At 47.7% G+C, this 19,392-nt stretch overlaps 2 protein-coding genes across 2 annotated transcripts in view, besides 3 other annotated features; one reads left to right on the top strand and one right to left on the bottom strand.

Annotated features, from left to right (window-relative positions):
* PFDN1 (prefoldin subunit 1) overlaps positions 1 to 1,911 on the top strand; it is a 58,067-nt gene extending 56,156 nt beyond the window's left edge. The window contains exon 4 of the mRNA NM_002622.5: positions 889 to 1,911. Within this exon, the coding sequence (NP_002613.2) occupies positions 889 to 972 (84 nt within the window). The 3' untranslated portion in view covers positions 973 to 1,911. The remainder of the gene's footprint in view (positions 1 to 888) is intronic.
* A 1,245-nt stretch (positions 1,912 to 3,156) lies between these two features.
* Positions 3,157 to 19,392, bottom strand: part of CYSTM1 (cysteine rich transmembrane module containing 1) — a 68,602-nt gene continuing 52,366 nt past the window's right edge. Inside the window, exon 3 of the mRNA NM_032412.4 lies at positions 3,157 to 3,641. Coding sequence (NP_115788.1) covers positions 3,535 to 3,641 — 107 coding nt within the window. The 3' untranslated portion in view covers positions 3,157 to 3,534. The remainder of the gene's footprint in view (positions 3,642 to 19,392) is intronic.
* Positions 4,368 to 5,204: an enhancer, noted in NCBI's record as "H3K27ac-H3K4me1 hESC enhancer chr5:139621327-139622163 (GRCh37/hg19 assembly coordinates)". NCBI's record gives its function as "activates a minimal SCP1, AML or CMV promoter by ChIP-STARR-seq in primed H9 embryonic stem cells {active_cell/tissue: H9 hESC(primed)}" and the evidence as "EXISTENCE:reporter gene assay evidence [ECO:0000049][PMID:30033119]".
* Positions 5,205 to 6,043: an enhancer, noted in NCBI's record as "H3K27ac-H3K4me1 hESC enhancer chr5:139620488-139621326 (GRCh37/hg19 assembly coordinates)". NCBI's record gives its function as "activates a minimal SCP1, AML or CMV promoter by ChIP-STARR-seq in naive H9 embryonic stem cells {active_cell/tissue: H9 hESC(naive)}" and the evidence as "EXISTENCE:reporter gene assay evidence [ECO:0000049][PMID:30033119]".
* Positions 6,882 to 7,720: an enhancer, noted in NCBI's record as "H3K4me1 hESC enhancer chr5:139618811-139619649 (GRCh37/hg19 assembly coordinates)". NCBI's record gives its function as "activates a minimal SCP1, AML or CMV promoter by ChIP-STARR-seq in naive H9 embryonic stem cells {active_cell/tissue: H9 hESC(naive)}" and the evidence as "EXISTENCE:reporter gene assay evidence [ECO:0000049][PMID:30033119]".

Genomic DNA, 19,392 nt, shown 5'->3' with positions numbered 1-19,392 from the left:
CCCTGGGAGGTGATAATTTTGAGTATTCCCTCAGGACATGAATAGTATTCCTCTAAAACGGAGGCTTCATTTCATGTCTGTTAACTGGGAATACAGCCACAACTATGTCCTCGGGGCAAGGACCACTGGTAAAACCACCATACTTCTGGGGTGAGCACAGGGCAAATAATGTACAGACATCATTTCCTTTGACTAATCTTTGAAATCTTGGCTCCTGAAAGTAGTGAAAGTTCTTTGTCTAAGCCGAGATTTTTAATTTAGGACCCAGATGGAGTAGAAGGTAAGCCTCCAAAAGGTCTGCTTTCCTCAGTGTTTTAGTGTCCCAGATTCCTGGCAGGCAGCAGTCTCATTAGAAAAGCAGATTGCCTTCTGACTCACCCACTCAGTGCGATGCGAGACAGCCCCACAGCCCTCACAGCAGCCCATATTCCTGCTGGACAGGGCAGAGCGTGCACCATCCATTTTATAGCTGCAGTGGCTACAGACGCCTGGCCCAGGCCATGGAAAACCTTGAGAGGAGATAGTCTGTTACGGACAGGAGCTTTGTCCTGGAATTTCCTGGCCTTTGTCTGTCTGGGATAACTTCATGTACTGAGACGCCTGTTTTTTAGAGTCTTCTTCCTTCTGGGGGAAGAGTGCTACTGCCTGTCCTCCACAGAGCACTTTTGCTTCTACCAAAGCCATCTTCTCCCTGCTGCCTGCCCGTGATCACCCATGGTTCGGAGGTGAGGGGAGCACTGTGGGCAGGTGTGTGTACCTGGCTTGCAGTATACTCCTGAAAGTTGCCTGTCACAAAGGAAAAGCCATAACCATTGGACATCAAAGCTGTGTCTTCCAGCCCGGCCCATTCACTCTGGTCCTAACCTTTGTCTGTCTCTCATATTGCAGCAGAAAAAGTCCTACCTGGAGCGAAGCGTTAAGGAAGCTGAGGACAACATCCGGGAGATGCTGATGGCACGAAGGGCCCAGTAGGGAGCCTCTCTGGGAAGCTCTTCCTCCTGCCCCTCCCATTCCTGGTGGGGGCAGAGGAGTGTCTGCAGGGAAACAGCTTCTCCTCTGCCCCGATGGATGCTTTATTTGGATGGCCTGGCAACATCACATTTTCTGCATCACCCTGAGCCCCATTTGCTTCCCAGCCCTGGAGTTTTTACCCGGCTTTGCCTGCCACCTCTGCCCAGGACACTCTTCCCTCTCGGGATGTGTGATGAACTCCCAGGAGAGGGAAGATGGGAGCCAGGGCAAGATAGGAAGCTCTGCCTGAGCTTTCCACTAGGCACGCCAGCCAGACCAATAAAAAGCGTCTGTCCCACTCTGCTAAGCCTGGTTTTCTTGAGCAGAGGGATGGAACAGAGGGTGAGAGAGGCAGTGGCCGTCTCCACCTCAGCTCCTGCTCCCTCTGCATCAGAGCCCTTCCTTTCTTGGGGGATGGGCCTTGCCCTCTTCTCTTTTCCCTTCCTGTACCTTTGACTAACGCTCAGCTTCCGGGCCTGCATGCAGTAGACAGAAGAGGAAGAAAGAACAGATGTTCACAGCTGAATCTCAGTGAACAGAATAGCAGTCCCTGGATGGCAGTCTGCCTAAAGATTCCTTTCCCTGCCTTCTCCCATACATTCCAAAAGGAAGTTCAACAGTAAGCAGCACCTCCAAGACTGTCTCCTTTTGGCCAATATCATAAGATGGACGCCATAATCCTGAGGCCTCCTAGAGGCTGAGGGGGCAACGGTGTGATCCAGCTGGCTCATCCCAGCCCAGGTGGGCCAATTATTCAATTTTCAAGAATTTTGTTGCAAGCCAGTTGTCAAACACAGCCATTATAATTATGTAAATTTGCAAATTATGTTAAAAACAAGGACAATAAATATTCAAAATGCATCCCTAATTACTACATTTGACCACGATCTGTGCTCTATCTGTGCACTGACTGTGATCTGTGAGGTTGGCTCTGTTGTGTCTGGGTGGTAGAAATCCCACATGATGTCAGGTCCTGTGCTGCCCTTCCCAGCTCCAGTCAGTGACATCACATTGGTAACTTGAAATCAGCCATGGCATGGTGAGAACACGTACACCACAGAAATAAGACACAGGACATCAGAAATAAGACACAGGACATGCAACAAAACATGGCTTTTTTTTTTTTTTTAAAGAGAGCACCGGTAAACATTTATCAGCACGTCCACTGCTTCGGAGGGAAGGCAGAGTCGGCAGGGAGCTAGCTGTCAGCTGCGGCTTCTCGGGCTGGCTGGGCTGGGCGGGCCAGCTGATGGAGGAAAATCGGACTTGCTGCTATGGCAGCCTGGCGCCACCCTGTGGCCAAATATGAGATGAGTGGCACGGCTGACGAGCTGGGGTGAGGGGTGAGGGGACATCCAGAAGGGAAAACTTCAGCCAGGAGCGGTGGCTCACGCCTGTAATCCCAGCATTTTGGGAGGCCGAGGCGGGCAGATCAACTGAGGTTGGGAGTTCGCAACCAGACTGACCAACATGGAGAAACCCTGTCTCTACTAAAAATACAAAATTAGCCCGGCCTGGTGGTACATGCCTGTAATCCCAGCTACTCAGGAGGCTGAGGCAGGAGAATTGCTTGAACCCAGGAGGGGGAGGTTGTGGTGAGCCGAGATCACGCCATTGTCCTCCAGCCTGGGCAACAAGAGTGAAACTCCATCATCTCAAAAAAAAAAAAAAAAAAAAAAAAAAGGAAAACCTCTTGGCTGGCCCCATGTAATTGTAGGTTCCTGGGTTTCCAGGGAGCAGGCCTGGAAGCCACTCCAGGGGCAGCCCCTGGTTACCAAAAGGCCCTTTCCTAGGCTCTGGGTAAAGGCAGGTGCAAGATGTGGCAAATGCTCCTCCCTGAGCCTATCTCTGAGTGGGACTACGGGGAGAGTAGCTTGGCCGGGAGCCCATGACCCAGCTGGAGAACACCTGGCCCTCAGAACTGGCCGCCTTTGTAGCACCCTCACTGTTTGCATCACCACCAGAATAAAAAGGTAGATTGGCTGCTGGTCATACATTGGATGGTGGCCACTAGCTGAGATAGATACCCACATTTTATAAGCCTCAGTGAGCAGATGAGTAGTTAGTTAGACATGGTAACAGTCCAGGAGACAAGCACAGACTCCAGGTAGCTTAGCTTAGGCCTGGAATCATTTAGACAGACAGTTGAGCTTTGGACAAATTTATTGAAACATACAGGCGGCTGTTAGCAGAGAAATCATTCCATGATTGATGTGTTACATTTGGCCACTACCTTGAATGTATAATTTAAAAATTATATTTTTCACAACTAAGCCTTTGGCCAAAAAAGTCATTTAGCACATCTTTAAAGATCAATAAGAAATGGATTTTGGACATTAAAAAGATCAAGTCACTGAATTAAACAGTAGCAACCCCCATTAATCTAGAATCCCATAGTGCTGAAGGTAGAGGTGTCTGTGCAAAGCTAGTCATTTGTTAACAGCAATCAGAAGAGATGGGGGCAGGCACACCTGTCAGAGGTGGCAGCAGAGCTGGCAGGACAGGACGGCTGGGCTGGTCTGGTCAGGTGAGCATGTCCCAGAGACAGCAGCAACAGAGAGCCGTCCAGCAGGCTGTGAGGCAGGTGGATGGTCCTAGCTCATCTCTTCTTTGGTCTTCTACCACATACACTGGAGGGAGAAGAGGGAAGAGGGTGAGAATGGACTGGTGCAAACCCCAGGCCCTGCAAAGTTAGCCTCCCAGGACCACAGGAAGGCTACACCAGGGGAAAACTATTGAGCAGACTGGTGAAACCGTGTTCCTGCCATTGCTGCTGCTGAATGGAAGGAGGGTGGCTCAGCTCAGCTGCTTTCTCCCTCCTGCCACTCCAGACTCAGGACGCCCTCACCCTCACAGGGACAAGTACTAGAGAACTTGCAGAATGGCCCCATGCCAAGGCAACCAGAGTTGGCCAACCCTACTTGGTTTGTAAACCAGGTAGCATGTCTTCCCCCCTGGAGGGGAACTGGGGGTCATTTCTTGGGATACAGCTGACCCATCACCCAAGAATAACAGAGGAAAGGGAATTAAAATCTCCTTTTAAAGGGGGGCTTTAAACCCTTAAAGAATAATCAAGAGCCCTGGTTTTTCATTCCTGGGCAATACACAATTTCAGAATGTGCCCCCAACCTCTATACCTTGACATAAACGATGAAGGAAGGCAGGGATGAAAACCTGGCTGAGTGGGATGGGGCGGCTGGAGCCTGTGTGGTGTCTTCCTGAGCCTAGCATGCTCACTTTTCCTCCAAATGGAGCTGGAAACCTGAGCCCTGTCATGGCCAAGTGCTCTATCGAGAGATCTGAGTGCTAAACAAATCCATAGGTCAAGAAGGACCCCAACTACCCACTACTTGTTAGCTGATTTGCGGCATTAGCTTCTCTTCCCATAAGGACATATTTTAAATGGCTGCTAGTCAATCTGTGGCCACTGAAAATCTCAAAACAACCACTGTCATCAAACTCATAAGCAGTAAGCATTTCACTTTTCCAAAGTTCATGAATGCATGAATGTTATCAATTAAGCCAGTCCTTTAGGGGTTTTCTTTCAGTTTTCTTGTGTTTTGTATCTGTTTTTAGACCTCTCTCGGCAGCGCCTCTCTCTGGAGCCTGGTGTCATTGCTATTACAGGGCACGCTGAGTGGGTTAGTAGGGAGATTTTCCAGGTCCTCCCGTTGTATCAGCTGCCCTCTACTGCACGGACATGTTCCTTTTCCTTCTCCTATGGCACAGGTTTAATCCTAGTCCACTTGCATTTGGCTCCACTCAGCAGCACAGGTCTGGGTCTAGATGCCCTTCACCAGGAAAGCCTGCTCAGAGGGAGAGGATGAATGGCTCATTTATTCTGAGGCCTCCTAAGGTCAAGTACCTGATTTCGTCTTCACAGCAACCCTGAGGTAGATACTACCATCATTCCCACTTCACAGGCAAGGAATTCGAGGCTTAGAGAGCTCAAGTCTCTCGTTCAAGCACATGTGACGAGGCAGAGGCAAGGGCAGAATCCGAACCCAGGCCTTTATGGCTCTAAAGCCTCTGGCAAGCCAGGCTTGCTCATACCCAACTGGGATAGAAAAGGGATCAGAAAGAGAACAGAGGTGACTGGGGCTACAGCAAAGTCATCTCTCACATCCAGCCAGAGCCTACCCTACCCACTGAAGCCTGGCCACCCCAGGCCCTGGGGTCACTGCAGCAGGAAAGCCCCAGGCAGAGTGTCCCTTCCATCTGCCTGGATGGCCTGCCCACCCCGGGATCCTGCATGGGCAGCTCTGGACAGGGAAACCAGAATACAATGGCATGCAGATCCCCTTGAATAACCCCTTCCCTGTGCTCTCCCTGTCACAGGATTGGCTCGCCTGCCCCTGGGACAGAAAGCCCCTCCCCTGCCAGCTCTGGAAATAGCCTGCTTGATTCATGTGCAGGCCATCCCTGGGCTTCAGGCCAGAGACTCAGCTGGAGGCTGGCTGCAGTGGGAGGGGCCTCACAGGCTCTCTTAAGTTACCATTTATTGAGGTATTCACAAGTGCCAGGCCCTGTGCTGAGGGCTTTCTGGACATGGGGCCACTCAGTCTTCATGACCGCCGTGTGGGGCATGGGCATCAGGACATCAGTCAGTCTCCTCACTGCTTCCCCTTCTCCCCAGCCTCCAGAGACAGGGCTGAGGCGGTGGCCATGCCTTTCTCACCTGTCAGAGCCCCTGAACCTCAGGCAGCTTAACTGGGGAAACAAAAACGTCCTAGTCTTGCTTGCTCCACCTTTTTCCTCCAGTTTAATCAGGTTCGTTCTTGCCAGGGCTTTCACATAACATACTTGGAAACGTGGGGAACTAGGGACTTTGAACTCATTACTCCCAGGCAGTGCTGACAGAGGTTAGAAACAGCAGCTACAAAATGGAGGACTTCAAACCAGAGGGCTGTGACAGCCATGACAGGGGCGTTGAGTGCCCACACATAACTTAGAAACCCGAGTCACTTATTTCCTGGAGCACCAAGTTTCCCAAAAGCCTTAGGACCTTTTCACCTTTAGCTGAGGACAGAATCTCTGCTCCTGGGCTGTTGGGAGGATGGGCAATGGGGAGTAGCGTGGGTCTGGAGGTGGGAGTGACCTGCGTTTTCCTTGCTTCAGTCGCCCAAAGCAGGGATGACTAGCGCAGGAGAAACCCCCAAGGCAGCCCTCACAGTTCTTCAGAGCACCTGCGGTGGGGCCCAGAAATTTTACAACTGCATCTTCTAGGTGCAGGGTTCAGGGTACTGCATCTCCAGAGGGTGCACTGAGCTGCACAGCCTAGTCTCTGCCCCAGGATCCCCACCCACCCCAGGGCCTCACCATTCCTGGCATTCTGCTCTGCTACCATCCCCGTCACTCCCCACTTCCCAATGGGGGACTCTGCCTGAGAACTCGTGCACTATCCTGGCTGGCACCCCATGCTACCTGGGTCCTGGGCCACTCAGTACTTGAAGCCCGGGGCCCTCTGTGCACTGAGGCTTAGCTGGCAGTGCGAGTCACCCAGCAGGAGCTGTGGCAGAGGTGGCCCCAACCCAGGTGTTCCACAACCAGAGATGGGCCATCCTGGCAACTGCCTCCTCTACAGCCAAGCAGAAGACAAAAAGCAGGCAGAACTATGGTTACATAAGATGTTAAACTGTTTACAGAAACTACCATCTCGGCAACTCTTCTCTCAATTTCTGTAATTGGAATGCTATTTAAAAATATAAACCTTTTTAAAAAGACGGAAAAAAGGGAGAGGGGTTAAAAGAGCAGTGGGGGGGTGCTGGGATGGTAACAGGCACCACCTTTCTGGGCACGTTGGTAGCAGTCAGTGCCCAACCTGGGAAGAGGTTCTGGTGCCTGCTGTGGCTGCTCAGATTGAGCTGCTTCTTGGAGATCAAGTGCCCCCCTGTGGCCAGTCTAGGGACCGGAGCTGGGTTCCAGCTCCTGACGCGGGCAGGGTCTTAAGGACTGGTTTCCTTCCATAAGCATCAGCGCCAAAAGGCTCATCCCTCATTCGCTATCTAGTGTCTCAGACCACCCTATTCAACCGGCCCCAGAGAAGAAGGGACTATTCCTAGGGGACTACAGGTGGAGTGGGGGTCAGGTCCAGGGGACCCTGCACTGGCTTGCCTCTCTTGCCCGCAGTCAGCCCTTTGAATCAACCCTCAGTATTCTCAGCCCCAGTCTGATGTGGGGCCTGCAGAGGGGCAGGCACCCAGAGCTTTGCCACATGGATGCAAACACAAGTGTGGGGTGGGGAACGTGCAGGGAGAGGTGCGTGAGCACACAGATGTGGCCCAGGAGCCCAGGCTAGGTCAGAAAGGCCCAGGAAGCCCTGGGTCTCAGGTGCGCAGCAGCTTTGGGAAGAGCTGAGCAGTTTCTGGCAGGGGCACCTCCCACCTTCTTGCCTTCAAGCTGGAAGCAGAAAAGATAGATGGACGATGCCAGGCCTGTCCAACAAGCCCTGGGGTCTTCTCCAGGGCCACCAGTGCCCACTGCCACTTTGGCCACCAGACACACCAACCAGTAGTCCCCTTGGTCCCAGGATCTAGGACTACTGTATTGTACATTCCCAGAGATGACATTCACATGGGCTACTCAGAAACCTGGTTCTGGGTAGGCAATGGGCAAGTGGGGCTCCAGTTTCCATAGAGGTCAGGGCAGGGATGACCTGCAGGAAGTGTGAGTATAGGCCTTCTCAGGTGAAGGCTCCAATTCTCAGCCCCATTCTGGCATCTGAAACCTTCATCTGCATGGCTGGGACTTTGTAAATGATGAATCGAGTGCCTTGATGTGGTAATTGAGCCTTATTAGGTCCTTCTTGTTTTTGCAAGTGTCTGTACCAGTCCCAACCCAAGAGAGCTAGGCGGGAAAGGCAAACAGAAAGACCAGAGCCTCCCAGAGGGTTCTGATGCCTGCAGCCTTCTTGCTCCAGGAGTGAGGAAGCAGCACCGTGGCCCCTTATCACCCAGACCAGCGATGGGCACCCAGGGCTGGCCCTCAACTGCTAAGACAACTACAATCACCACACCTTCCAAAAAGTGCCACCAGGGGAGATGATGGCTTTGCCAGGGGCAGGAGGACCTGTAGTCTGCTCAACTGCCCTTGCCCCGCATTGGGCATCTAGACCGACAGAAGGAGGCCAACCAGCCTTCCGGGAGGTTTCAGAGGATCCACAATAGCCCTTTACTGCTCAGATGCAGAGGTAGGAAGGGAAGGGAAAATCTTTAAGCATTTTCCCAATAAGTAAAAACGTCAAGACAGCCATGAGACGGCTCCTGCAGGGGCAGAGAGAGAGAAGACTCAACTTGCTATGGTTTCAGTTCAGCTTTCCTTGGATGTGCAAGTGCAGTGGCATCGTTTACTACCCAGCGCAAAGGGGCTACACTGATGAGAACAAAATGTCCTAAAGGCAATGCCACTGTGCCTCTGTTCAAGGCCAGTGAGTAAGTACCAGGTCCGTGTGCTGAGTGGGAGAGTGATAGGGCGAAGGATGACCAGGAACAGCAGAGGGACCAGCCCAGCTTCTGTCCTTCCAGGGAATATCTGGGCAGAGGCAATCAAGGGTCTGTAGTTTTCATCAGACTGTTTGAAGGGTAAGATAGGAGAAGGTAGGAACCTCTTCCATTTTCCCCTTCTTATACAGGGAGATGGATATGGAGCTGACAGAATCAGCACAGCCTTGGCCCAGGCTCCACAACAGCAGCTGCCTTTGCCTACTAAGCTCAGAGCCTTCCCTGGGCCTCCCGAGCCTCTCTTCCTGCCCTACTCCTCCTGCCTCCTTTTCCTGCAGCTTCAGCTCTGGCCTGGCTTTTCTGTGAAGCTTAGTCCCAAGATACCCACTCCAAGGTGAAGTAGACCAGGAGCTGGCCAACCAACTCACCCACCAACCTGTGTCTCACCTGACTGCAACCCAACCCAACAAGCATTCAGGTTGCCATTGCTCTCCAGACAGGTGCGGGCGTTTACATGGATTGGTCTGGAAAGGGTGAGGGCTTGCCGAGCTGTGGATGGGTCCTTGCTTGTAGGTCTTCAGAAGTGCATTTGCCACCATCCTGAAGTGGCATCCTGGGAGGGAGGCTGCCCCTGGACAAAACCAAGCAGCTATCCCAGGGCCAAGACCAAGCCTTCTGAGAAACTGATGAAGCCCAGGGAACCCCAGGTGAATGAGTCATCTCATTCACCCCCAATCAGTCCTGTGAACAGTAGACCCAATAACACAATTTTTGGAAAAACAACAAAATCTATCTAGTAGATATGGACATGCTGGACCAGCCTGACAAGGCTGCACCACCAGCACTGCCTGTGGTCTCATCCTTGGGCAAGACCTGCTAGGCTACCAGGACAGGGTTGACTGTAGATAGAGACAATTGAGAACTTCCCAGATGCCAGGACTACAGTCTGAACTGCCTTGGGGACCACCTTGGCCAGTCCTTTTTTGGTAAGAGGATGCTGAGTTCAAAGAAGGGAAAGAAGTTGACTGAGGTCACATAGTGAATTAGAGGCAGGTCCTGGCCTGTCACCACACCCTCCTGCCTTCTGGCCCAGTGCTCACTGCACAAGATCAGGCTCGCCTCAAATCAGACAGCATCTTGGCTGCATGTGACCTGAAATGTGGCTATGCATCAAGGGAATGAAAGGCCTCCCTATTCTCTGTGCCCCAGTTCTCCTTCTAAATCCAAGATCTGTGTGTTAGGTCCAGATCTAGGTTTCTCCTTGTTCAGAGTGTCCCAAGGAGAGTCAGGGCCCATCGCCTCAGAATGACCTGGTCCAACAGTCAATTGAGATATGGAGTGAACTCTGTCCACAGTCACAACATCCGAGTGAATGCCCCTCAGCCACCACCCGCCACACTTCCACTTTCCACATGAGGGTGCGGGAGAAGGAGTGGCTGCTGAGGAGCCTGAGCAAGGCATGTGTGAGGGAACTCCTGGGTGCATGTCATCCTCCCTCGTGTGTAACTCAGCTCCAGTGCTGGATGCTGACAATTCCTGGGCAAGTGGCTGGAGATCCAGAAGTGCTTGGCATTTTCCAGTAAAGACCATGTTACTCTACAAGAAGGTTATCACCCCATTTAAATAAAATAGAGAAAATGAGAGCTTTTAAAAAACTATGACCAACAAAAGAAGAGGTTAAAACCAGGGCCCACTTTCCCCATGTCCCTGCCACCAACTTGGGAGTTGGGCAGACCTGAGCCGAGGTCCTGGCTCTGTTCTTCCAGAGCTGGATGATTTCAAGTAAGACACTTGACCTCTCTGAGCCTCTGCTTCCTCTCCTACAGGATGGGAAGGAAGACAGAGTTGTACAGCTACTGCCTTAGATAACACAGGAAAATGTTGTAATGAGAACAAAGTTAATATCATTTAAGACAGGTCAAAAATACAAGCTCTCAATTTACAGAGAGGAAAGTTTCATCGTGGCGTTTCTTAAATAGTGAGATCATATAGTACATTTCAAATGCTATTTTTCATAATTTTCTAGGCCATTGTCTATGTTTACAGCACTGCTAAAGAACCGAGGTGCCTGCCGTGCTGGTGCAGCGTGTACATTCCTGTTTGCTGGTCCAGGTGCATGTACAAAGCTTGGTCTTGCAAAACATCATACAGTGAGCAATCCAAGCCACAAGACTGCAGGGACGCGCACATCCACAGAAATGCCACAAGGTAACTGTGGGGCTCAATAGCTTGTTGTGGACAGGATGGGTTCTATCCAGATGAGTTTATAAAAGATGAAAGACGTACAGATAATAATTTAAGTCAGACTTAAATAATTCACTTTATTTTTGTAAACCTGAGGAGAAAACCAAGAGCTTCTCATAGTGGTGAGAGACGGAAATAAAAAAGGGAATCTCAAATAGTTTATGGGGGCAATGTCCTCTTTTCTGTTACACAAGACTTTAGCAAGCAATCTTCCACACCCTGAGGGGAAGACAAGCCTTAGAAACAAACTGTTTTGTATTTGGCTTAGAGTAGACAGCAGTTTTACTTTGATCTTGACACCAGCCAGATTTGGTGGGGGACTGAAGGGCAGTAATGGGGAAGAGTACTCGGGACAGGATGAGTGCATAAGCAGTTCCTCAGCACCCACTCTTCTGCTAGAGTCTTGTAATGCCACTGCCTCAGATAGACCAAAGGACCACGGTGTGAGCTGGGGAAGATGTCACTGTCAAGATCAAAGCGTAGGAAGGGGCTGACAAGTATGAGAAGCCCCAAAATACACTTGAGAAGAGGACAAAATGTTTTTCTGGGCTGGGTGCGGTGGCTCACGCCTGTAATCCCAGCACTTTGGGAGGCTGAGGTGGGCGGATCATGAGGTCAGAAGATCGAGACCATCCTGGCTAACACCGTGAAGCCTCGTCTCTACTGAAAATACAAAAAATTAGCCAGACATGGTGGCGGGCGCCTGTAGTCCCAGCTACTCAGGAGGCTGAGGCAGGAGAATGGCGTGAATCCAGGAGGCAGAGCTTGCAGTGAGCCAAGATCGCACCACTGCACTCCAGCCTGGGCGACAGAGCGAGACTCCATCTCAAAAAAAAAAAAAAAGGAAAGTTTTTCTGGTGCTGAAGACCCAATGTCATGGGTGACATTACTACAGTAGGAGGAGGAAGCAGTTCATTATATCATGACATATATCATGAACATATCCCTAATGCAGCTTTTGGAGGAATAATTATGAATGAGGCTGGCTGGGCTTGGTGGCTCAAACCTGTAATCCCAGCACTTTGGGAGGCTGAGGCAGACAGATAACCTGAGGTCAGGAGTTCAAGACCAGCCTGGCCAACATGGCGAAACCCCATCTCTACTAAAAAGTATAAAAATTAGCCAGGCGTGGTGGCGGGCGCCTGTAATCCCAGCTACTTAGGAGGCTGAGGCAGGAGAATCGCTTGAACCCTGGAGGTGGAGGTTGCAGTAAGCCGAGATCGCGCCACTGAACTCCTGCCTGGGCAAGGGTGAGACTCCATCTCAAAAAAAAAAAAAAAAATTATGAATGAGGCTGATATACCAGGCAGAAGAAATTAAGGAAAATCTAGAGAAAAAACCTAATCATGCCTAGTACATGACAGTTCTATGACCCTGTGATGACGGTGTAAAGACCTCGAGGGAGGGAGGATTTTCCAATGGCAGCAAACAGTGTATGATCTTGCTCATGACCTGCTCAGAAGTGAGGCACAGGAAGACCACGGTTGTGAATGATGGTGGCTGACCTGACTCAGAGCATAACCCGGCCCACAAGTCCCTCAACATACTGGCCATCTTGTAATGGCTGTTCCTACCCAATTTAATGAATAGTATACCTCATTTACTGCCAACTTCCAAAGACACCAATGTAATCATACACTAGGGGCTTTAACTGTGGAATAATTACAACCCAGCAAATGAATGGGCAGGCTGCCTGCCATCATTAAAGGTTATGGCATGTAAGGGTGAGCAACCAATCCCACTTAAATACCCATTAGGCCCCATGATGATCTATAGATTTAATGCAATTTCAATAAAAATCCCAACAGGAGTTTTTAATAGATAAAGATAAACAAATTCTAAAATTTATGGAAAGGAAAGAGAACTAAAATGACTAAAATGAAGATTTAACATAAAGCTACAGTAGTCAAGATAACCGGTTAATGGTATTGGCAAACAGACACATAGATCAAAGGAATGGAATGAAGAAGACAATAATAGACCCACATGAACATGGCTAACTGGTTTGACACATAAGCAAAGGCAATTCATTGGAGAAAGCATTTTGAAAAATATTGGTATGGCATGCAGAACACCTCACAAAACCCCTCAGCTATTTTAAACCTCACATTTTATACAAAAACTAACCCCAAGTGGATTATAGATCTCAATGAAAAACATAAAACTGTAAAATATTTTAAAGAAAACATGGAAAAGCATCTTCATGACCTGGGGTTAGACAAAGAGTCCTTAGACTGACACCAAAAACGTGATAAAATAAAAAATTGATAAACTGGACTTAATCACAATGAAAACTTTTGCTCCATGGAAGACACGGTTAAGGGGATGAAAAGATAGGCTACAGACGCAGAGAAAATATGTGCAAATCACAGCCAACAGAGGACTTGTATCTAAAATATATAACAACTCTCAAAAGTCCACAGTAAGAAAACAACCCAATTTGAAAGTGGATAAAAGACTTGAAAAAACACTTCACCAAAGAGGATATACGGAGAGCAAATATGCACATGACTTCATCACTAACTATTAGGAAAACACAAATTAAAACCACAATGAGATGCCACTACATACAATCAGAATGGCTAAAATAAAAATTGCTGACAATATCAAGTACTGGCAAAGATGCAGAGCCACCGGAACTCTCATTCATTACTGATAGGAACGCACGATGCCAAAGCCACTTTGGAAAAGAGTAGCAGTTTCTTAAGCCTACCATATGATCCAGAAATTCCACTCCTGGGTATTCAGCTTAGAGAAATGAAAACTTAGGTTCACACAAAAACCTGAACGTCAATGTTTATAGCAGATGGATTCATAATCACTCAGAGGTAGAAACAACCCAAATGGTCCTTCAACAGGTGAATGAATAACTGGGGTACCTCTAATACAATGGAATACTTCTCAGCAATAAAGTATCCACAGATCCTCATAGAATACACCAGCAGTTAACACACTGATGATTGTGCTCGCAAGGCAGTATCCTGGAATGACATTCCAGGGCAAAACCTACCATCCCAAATCTCCTGTGGCCAAATGCACTGCAAAATCCCAAAGACCAGGGGCTTTCAAATGTATTCCTCAGGCCCCTAAGCTTTCATAAAAAGTAGGGGGTGGTTCCTCTTTGCCTCAACCACAGCAATTCTATAGTATCTATTTTCCAGACTGGAGTTGCATGTAGAGTTTCCTTTCAAAAGATGTATATTAGCAAAATCTGTAATGGTGGTCATGAAAGATCTAGACTGTTGCTACTGTTCAGAAGGACCTCCCCAGGGCATGGATGGTCATCTGTTTGGTTATCTATGTGCTGGACCCTCCAGCAGCTACCGCAGAGGACATAGTCTTCTTGAGGAACAATGTCTCCTCTGTTCAGGCTCAAAGCTGAGTGACATTAGCCTGACTCCCTTACTTGATGTCTAACCTTTTTGGAACTCAATGTTTTGTTAGCATGCTTCTGTCCAGTTTAGTGGAGGTTCCTAGCCTTCCTGCCTCAGCTAGTTCTTTGCACCTGTGAGCTTGCCTGTTCCATGCTTACACACATGTCTGCCTTTCTCCAGGCCTGAGGAGCCCTGTCTTCTAGTTCCAAGCAGTCTTGTCTTTCCTTCTGTTGATTTCCTTCACAGAACAAGAACTGGAGAAAAGTCCACCTCCTCAGTGAAAACAGTGTAGACACTTTTGCGTTCTCACTTTACCTAATCTCTCAGCAACATTTGATGTTACTAATCAATCCTCTCTTCCCAATACATCTTCACTCAGCTCTCAGGACATCCCATTCTCCTAGCTTTCTCTCTCTGACTCCTTTGCAGATCCATCCAGAATTCCTTAAAGCTCAGCCCTACACTGCCATCTTTCCTTTTCCCTCCATATTTCCATCCAAGTTGATCTTACTCACGGCCACAGTTTCAATGATCATCAACATGCCAAGGCTCTCCACATTGACATCTCTAGCCCAACCTCTCCTCCAAGCTTCAGGTTTATATACAATTGCTTACCTGACAGCTCCACTTGAATGTCTCATAGATACTTTGAAACCTCAAACTAACTCAGTTTGTTCTCTCTCTCAACCAATCATGATTCCTTTCTCTTGTTCCCAACCTCTGTAAACACCACCACCAGGCACCCAGTTCCAGTCAGAAACCCAGAAGTCATCCCTGACTCTTACCTTCTTCCTCAATGTCCATATCCAATCCATCACCAAGTCTGGTTGATTTTACTTCCCAATATCTCAAATGCATTCATTTCTCTCCATAATCACCATGTGTACCTGTGCCCCCTTCCAAACCACTCTCCACACAGAAGCCAAAGGGATTTCTTAAAAATGCAAATGTGATATCATCCCTTTGCTTAATATCCTTCAACAGCTTCCCATTACTCACAAGACAAATACCAAAATCCTTAACTTGGGCTATGAGCCTCCATCTTGTTCCTGCCTGTTTCTCAACTGCTCCTAATGTCCCCTTGCGGCCTATGACACCAATTTCCTTTTCCACTTTATCAAATGAGCCACCATCTTTCCTGCCATTGGGCCTTGGCACCTGCTGTTCCTACACTTTTGCCTACTGACATCTATACATCTTTCAGATCTTAGCTCACTTCACTGCCTTGGGGAAGCCTTCTTGGACTGTGCCAGATTGTTCCCCTTTTGTAGGTTTTCATGGCATTATGTCTCTTCTCTTCACAGGGAAGTATGATGTCAATTATTACCTGTGGGTTTATTTAATGTCTGGTTCCCTCCCTAGAGTATAAGCCCTGCAAAAGCAGGGATTGGGGGTTTGTTCTGTGTGGTCTGTCACCTGACACTCTGGAGCTACGTTTACGGAATCCATGATTGTCTCTGTAGAACCCTGGTGGTTTCCCTGGAGCATGCATAGGACAGACTGAAGAACTGCTCCCCTCACAGCTGAACTGCCCCCAAGGGAATGGTGTGACAAAGATGGGCTAAAATTTTCTAATGTGTGATCCCAATGGAATGAATAAATTATTTCCACCAAGTAATAAATGTAACATTTTAAAAAAGTAATCTATTCACAGTAACATTAAAATTATACCTGGAGAAAAATCTAATTTTAAAAACCAATAAAAATATGTGAGAACTATGTGAAGAAAATTTTAAGACTTAAAGGACATAAAAAGAAGACAAAAATAAATTGAGAGATTACTTGTTCATGGTGGGAAGACAATATTGTAAATATGTCAACTCTTTCACCAATTACTTGATAAATTACATGCTGTTCCAATCAAAGCCAAACATGGTTTTCTGTAGAAACTAACACACATTCTAAAATGTAGATGAAACAGTAAAAGGCCGAGAAAGCCAAGAAAATTACGAAAAAGAATAAGAGGTATGTGTTTATGCACGTGCTGGTGGAAGGAGGGTACACATCACACCAGATTCCTGATTCTAGCTCATATTCTAATTCGTATATGGGAACGTGGTATATGACAAATCTCATCTCAGATTAATAGGGAAAGGACTGAAACTGTGCCCCAAAGATTAAAGACACCAATCCCTAACAGAGTTTACAAGATGGCAGTCAAGAAACAACTTGCTGAAACACTGAAACGCCTCTGCTTATGAGGCAAAAGAACTGAGTGAAATCTGTTAGAACCAATATGGCCAGCTGGAGTTTGGACAGAATGAGCCTGCTGATGATGTCACAGCCTGAATTTTCACTGCATGTTTCATGCTAACCCCTCCCCTGAATTTGCACATGGGATCCAAGAGGTAGCATGAAGAGATTATTGTACATGCCCCAGGACTTTCCAAACCTCTTCTTTCCTTCCATCAACCATCTCTCATCCTGGAATCCACCCCTCTAACCTTTTCTAATAAAATTACTGCCTTAAAGCCAGGACAGGGAGACAGATTTGAGCTGGAATCCTGTCTAATTGTTAACTTATAATAAAAGCATTTCTTTTCTCAAAAACCCAGTGTCATGGAATTGGCTTCTAGCACATCAGGCAGTGAGCCCCTTTTGCTTGGTAACAGGATGATCTAATTAATACATGCAGCTGGAACTACCAAGATGGAAAAAGAAAACTAGAATCTTATCCTACACCCATGATAAAAAATAAATTCAGGGCCAGGTGCGCGGTGGCTTACGCCTGTAATCCCAGCACTTTGGGAGGCTGAGATGGATGGATCACCTGAGGTCAGGAGTTCGAGACCATACTGACCAACATGGTGAAACCCCTGTCTCTACTAAAAATACAAAAATTAGCTGGGCATGGTGGTGCATGCCTGTAGTTCCAGCTACTTGGGAGGCTGAGGCAAGAGAATCCCTTGAACCCAGGAGGCAGAGGCTGCAGTGAGCCGAGATCGTGACACTGCACTCCAGCTTGGGTGACAGAGCAATACCTCATTTCAAAAAATAAAATAAAAATGCAAAATTAGCTGGGTGTGGTGGCACATGCCTGTAATCCCAGCTACTTGGGAGGCTGAGGCAGGAGAATCGCTTGAACCAGGGAGGCGGAGGTTGCAGTGAGCCAAGATCATGCCATTGCACTCCAGCCTGGGCAACAAGAGCAAAACTAGGTCTCAAAAAAATAAATAAATACATAAATAAATAGATAAATAAATAAATCAGGTGGACTAACGACTATATCTTAAACATTTTTAAAAGAAAATATAGACTTATTTTTATGAGCTTGGAATAGAAAATGAGTTTTCAAAGACTAAACCATACAAAGCACGAGGGAAAGATGATAAACATGACTTCTAAAATTTCTCATACTAGAAAATACACCATAAAAAGATTAAGAGAGGCCAAGTATGGTGGCTCACACCTGCAATCCCAGCACTTTGGATCTCAGGTGGATCGCTTAAATTCAGGAGTTCAAGACCAGCCTGGAAAACATGGCAAAACCCTGTCTCTATTAAAAAGATACAAAAATTAGCAGGGTATGGTGGCGCGTGCCTGTAATCCCAGCTACTTGGGAGGCTGAGGCACAAGAATTGCTTGAACCCAGGAGGTAAAGGTTGCAGTGAGATGAGATCACGCCACTGCACTCCAGCCTGGGTAACAGAGCAAGACTCCATTCCAAAAAAAAAGAGAGTCAGATAGGAAGAAGATATTTGCACACCTATAAAACAGACAAATATTAGTGGATAGAATATATAGAAATTCTCTACAAATCAGTAAGACAAACCAACAGAAAAGACAGGCTAAGAATATGTATAATCAATTCACAAGATATGTACAAACTGCCCAAAACTTATATGTTTATGTTCAAGGTCACTAGTAATCAGGGAAAGCAAATTAGTGAGATACCATTTCACACCTATGAAAGGTGCTAAAATTTAAAAATCTGTGAGTTATTGTCAAAGAAAGAAGAAAATGGAAATTGTGCAACAGTAGTTGTTTATTCCTGTAACAGGAGGTAGCAGGGCTGTAGGGAAATACTCGGATCTTAGCTGCTCAGTTCAAGTTGTCCAGGAGGCAGCAGCAGCAGAGAGCAGCCCAGCAAGCAGCCAGGACTGCCTGACACCCGCTGTCCATCTTCCTTTCCCGTTCTATCACGTACACTGTTGAAGGGGGTGCAGGGCGGGCAGAGGAGAGAGAGACCCAGTCAGAGGGGACTTGGAGTGGCAGCATGCTGGTAGAACTTACCACACTCTGCAGACTGGTTCTGTCTAGATTGTTAGCTCCACAAGGGCAGGGCAGGGGCCAAGCTGATCTGGTTCACTGCGCTTTCCCTGTTTCAGTGTCTGGCACACATCAGGTACTCAGCAGCTATCAGACCACTGTTCCTGCCACCTCTCCTCCAAGCTGACCAGGAAACCCAACCCAGTACTTTATTTGTTGCTTGTCCAAAGTGATCCAATTCTCAATGCAACCCTTGCCCTGAGCCCCACCCCTGAAGCCTGCCCTGATATGGCAGGCACCGGCGGAAATCTTTACATATGATTTCATTTAATCCTCCCAACAGCTCTGTATTATTATCATCATTTTATAACTCTCATACACTGTTAGCAGGAGTGGGAATGGACAGAATCTCTTTGAAGGAGAATTTAGGGAGAAGGGGAGAGACAACAACTGCAACCCAGAAAATTTGTATCTGGAATTTATCCTGCAGAAATAATTGTCCCAGCGTTCAGGGATCTATGTAAAGTATGGTTGTTGCTGCATCAAAATAACCCCAAACTAGCCTTAATGTCTATCAGGTGAGTCCAGTTGGGTAAATTAAAGCACACCACATAATAGACTACTACTAAAAGAACCAGGTGGTTCTTCCACGTGACCAATAATTTAAGGGATGAAAGCAAGGTCTGGAGCAGTGCATCTATTTTATTTGTACAATAAGAAGGATATACACACAAATACACACACACACATTTCTGAAATATACAAGAACTTAAAGGTCAGGGTGTGGAGAGAGGTGGAGGTTTTCACTTTGCTTTTACATTTTTCTCAAATCCAGGCTCGTCTGATTCCAATGCCACACTCAAAGCTGCTCCTGGGGGTCCTCATGGCAGAAGGGTGGGGCCTAGCTAGTTTTAGAATGCCTTGGATCTCTTCAAGCGTCTATTTCAACTGCTCTAAGATAGTTCCGGGGGCTTTAGGGGCAGTGGGCACTGACCAATCTGGGCTCCTAGCCCCAGTGGCCCCATCCTCAGTCCTGGGCTGCCTCCCTAAGTCACTGTTACCTAGACACCTCACATGGTCCAACTCCCCACAACCATGCTCCTCTTATAGCCTGA

This window comes from Homo sapiens, chromosome 5, assembly GCF_000001405.40.
Source record: "Homo sapiens chromosome 5, GRCh38.p14 Primary Assembly".
In the NCBI taxonomy this organism is placed as follows: Eukaryota; Metazoa; Chordata; class Mammalia; order Primates; family Hominidae; genus Homo; species Homo sapiens.
Note: the sequence above shows the minus strand (reverse complement) of the source record. Positions and strands in the feature narration are given on the sequence as shown.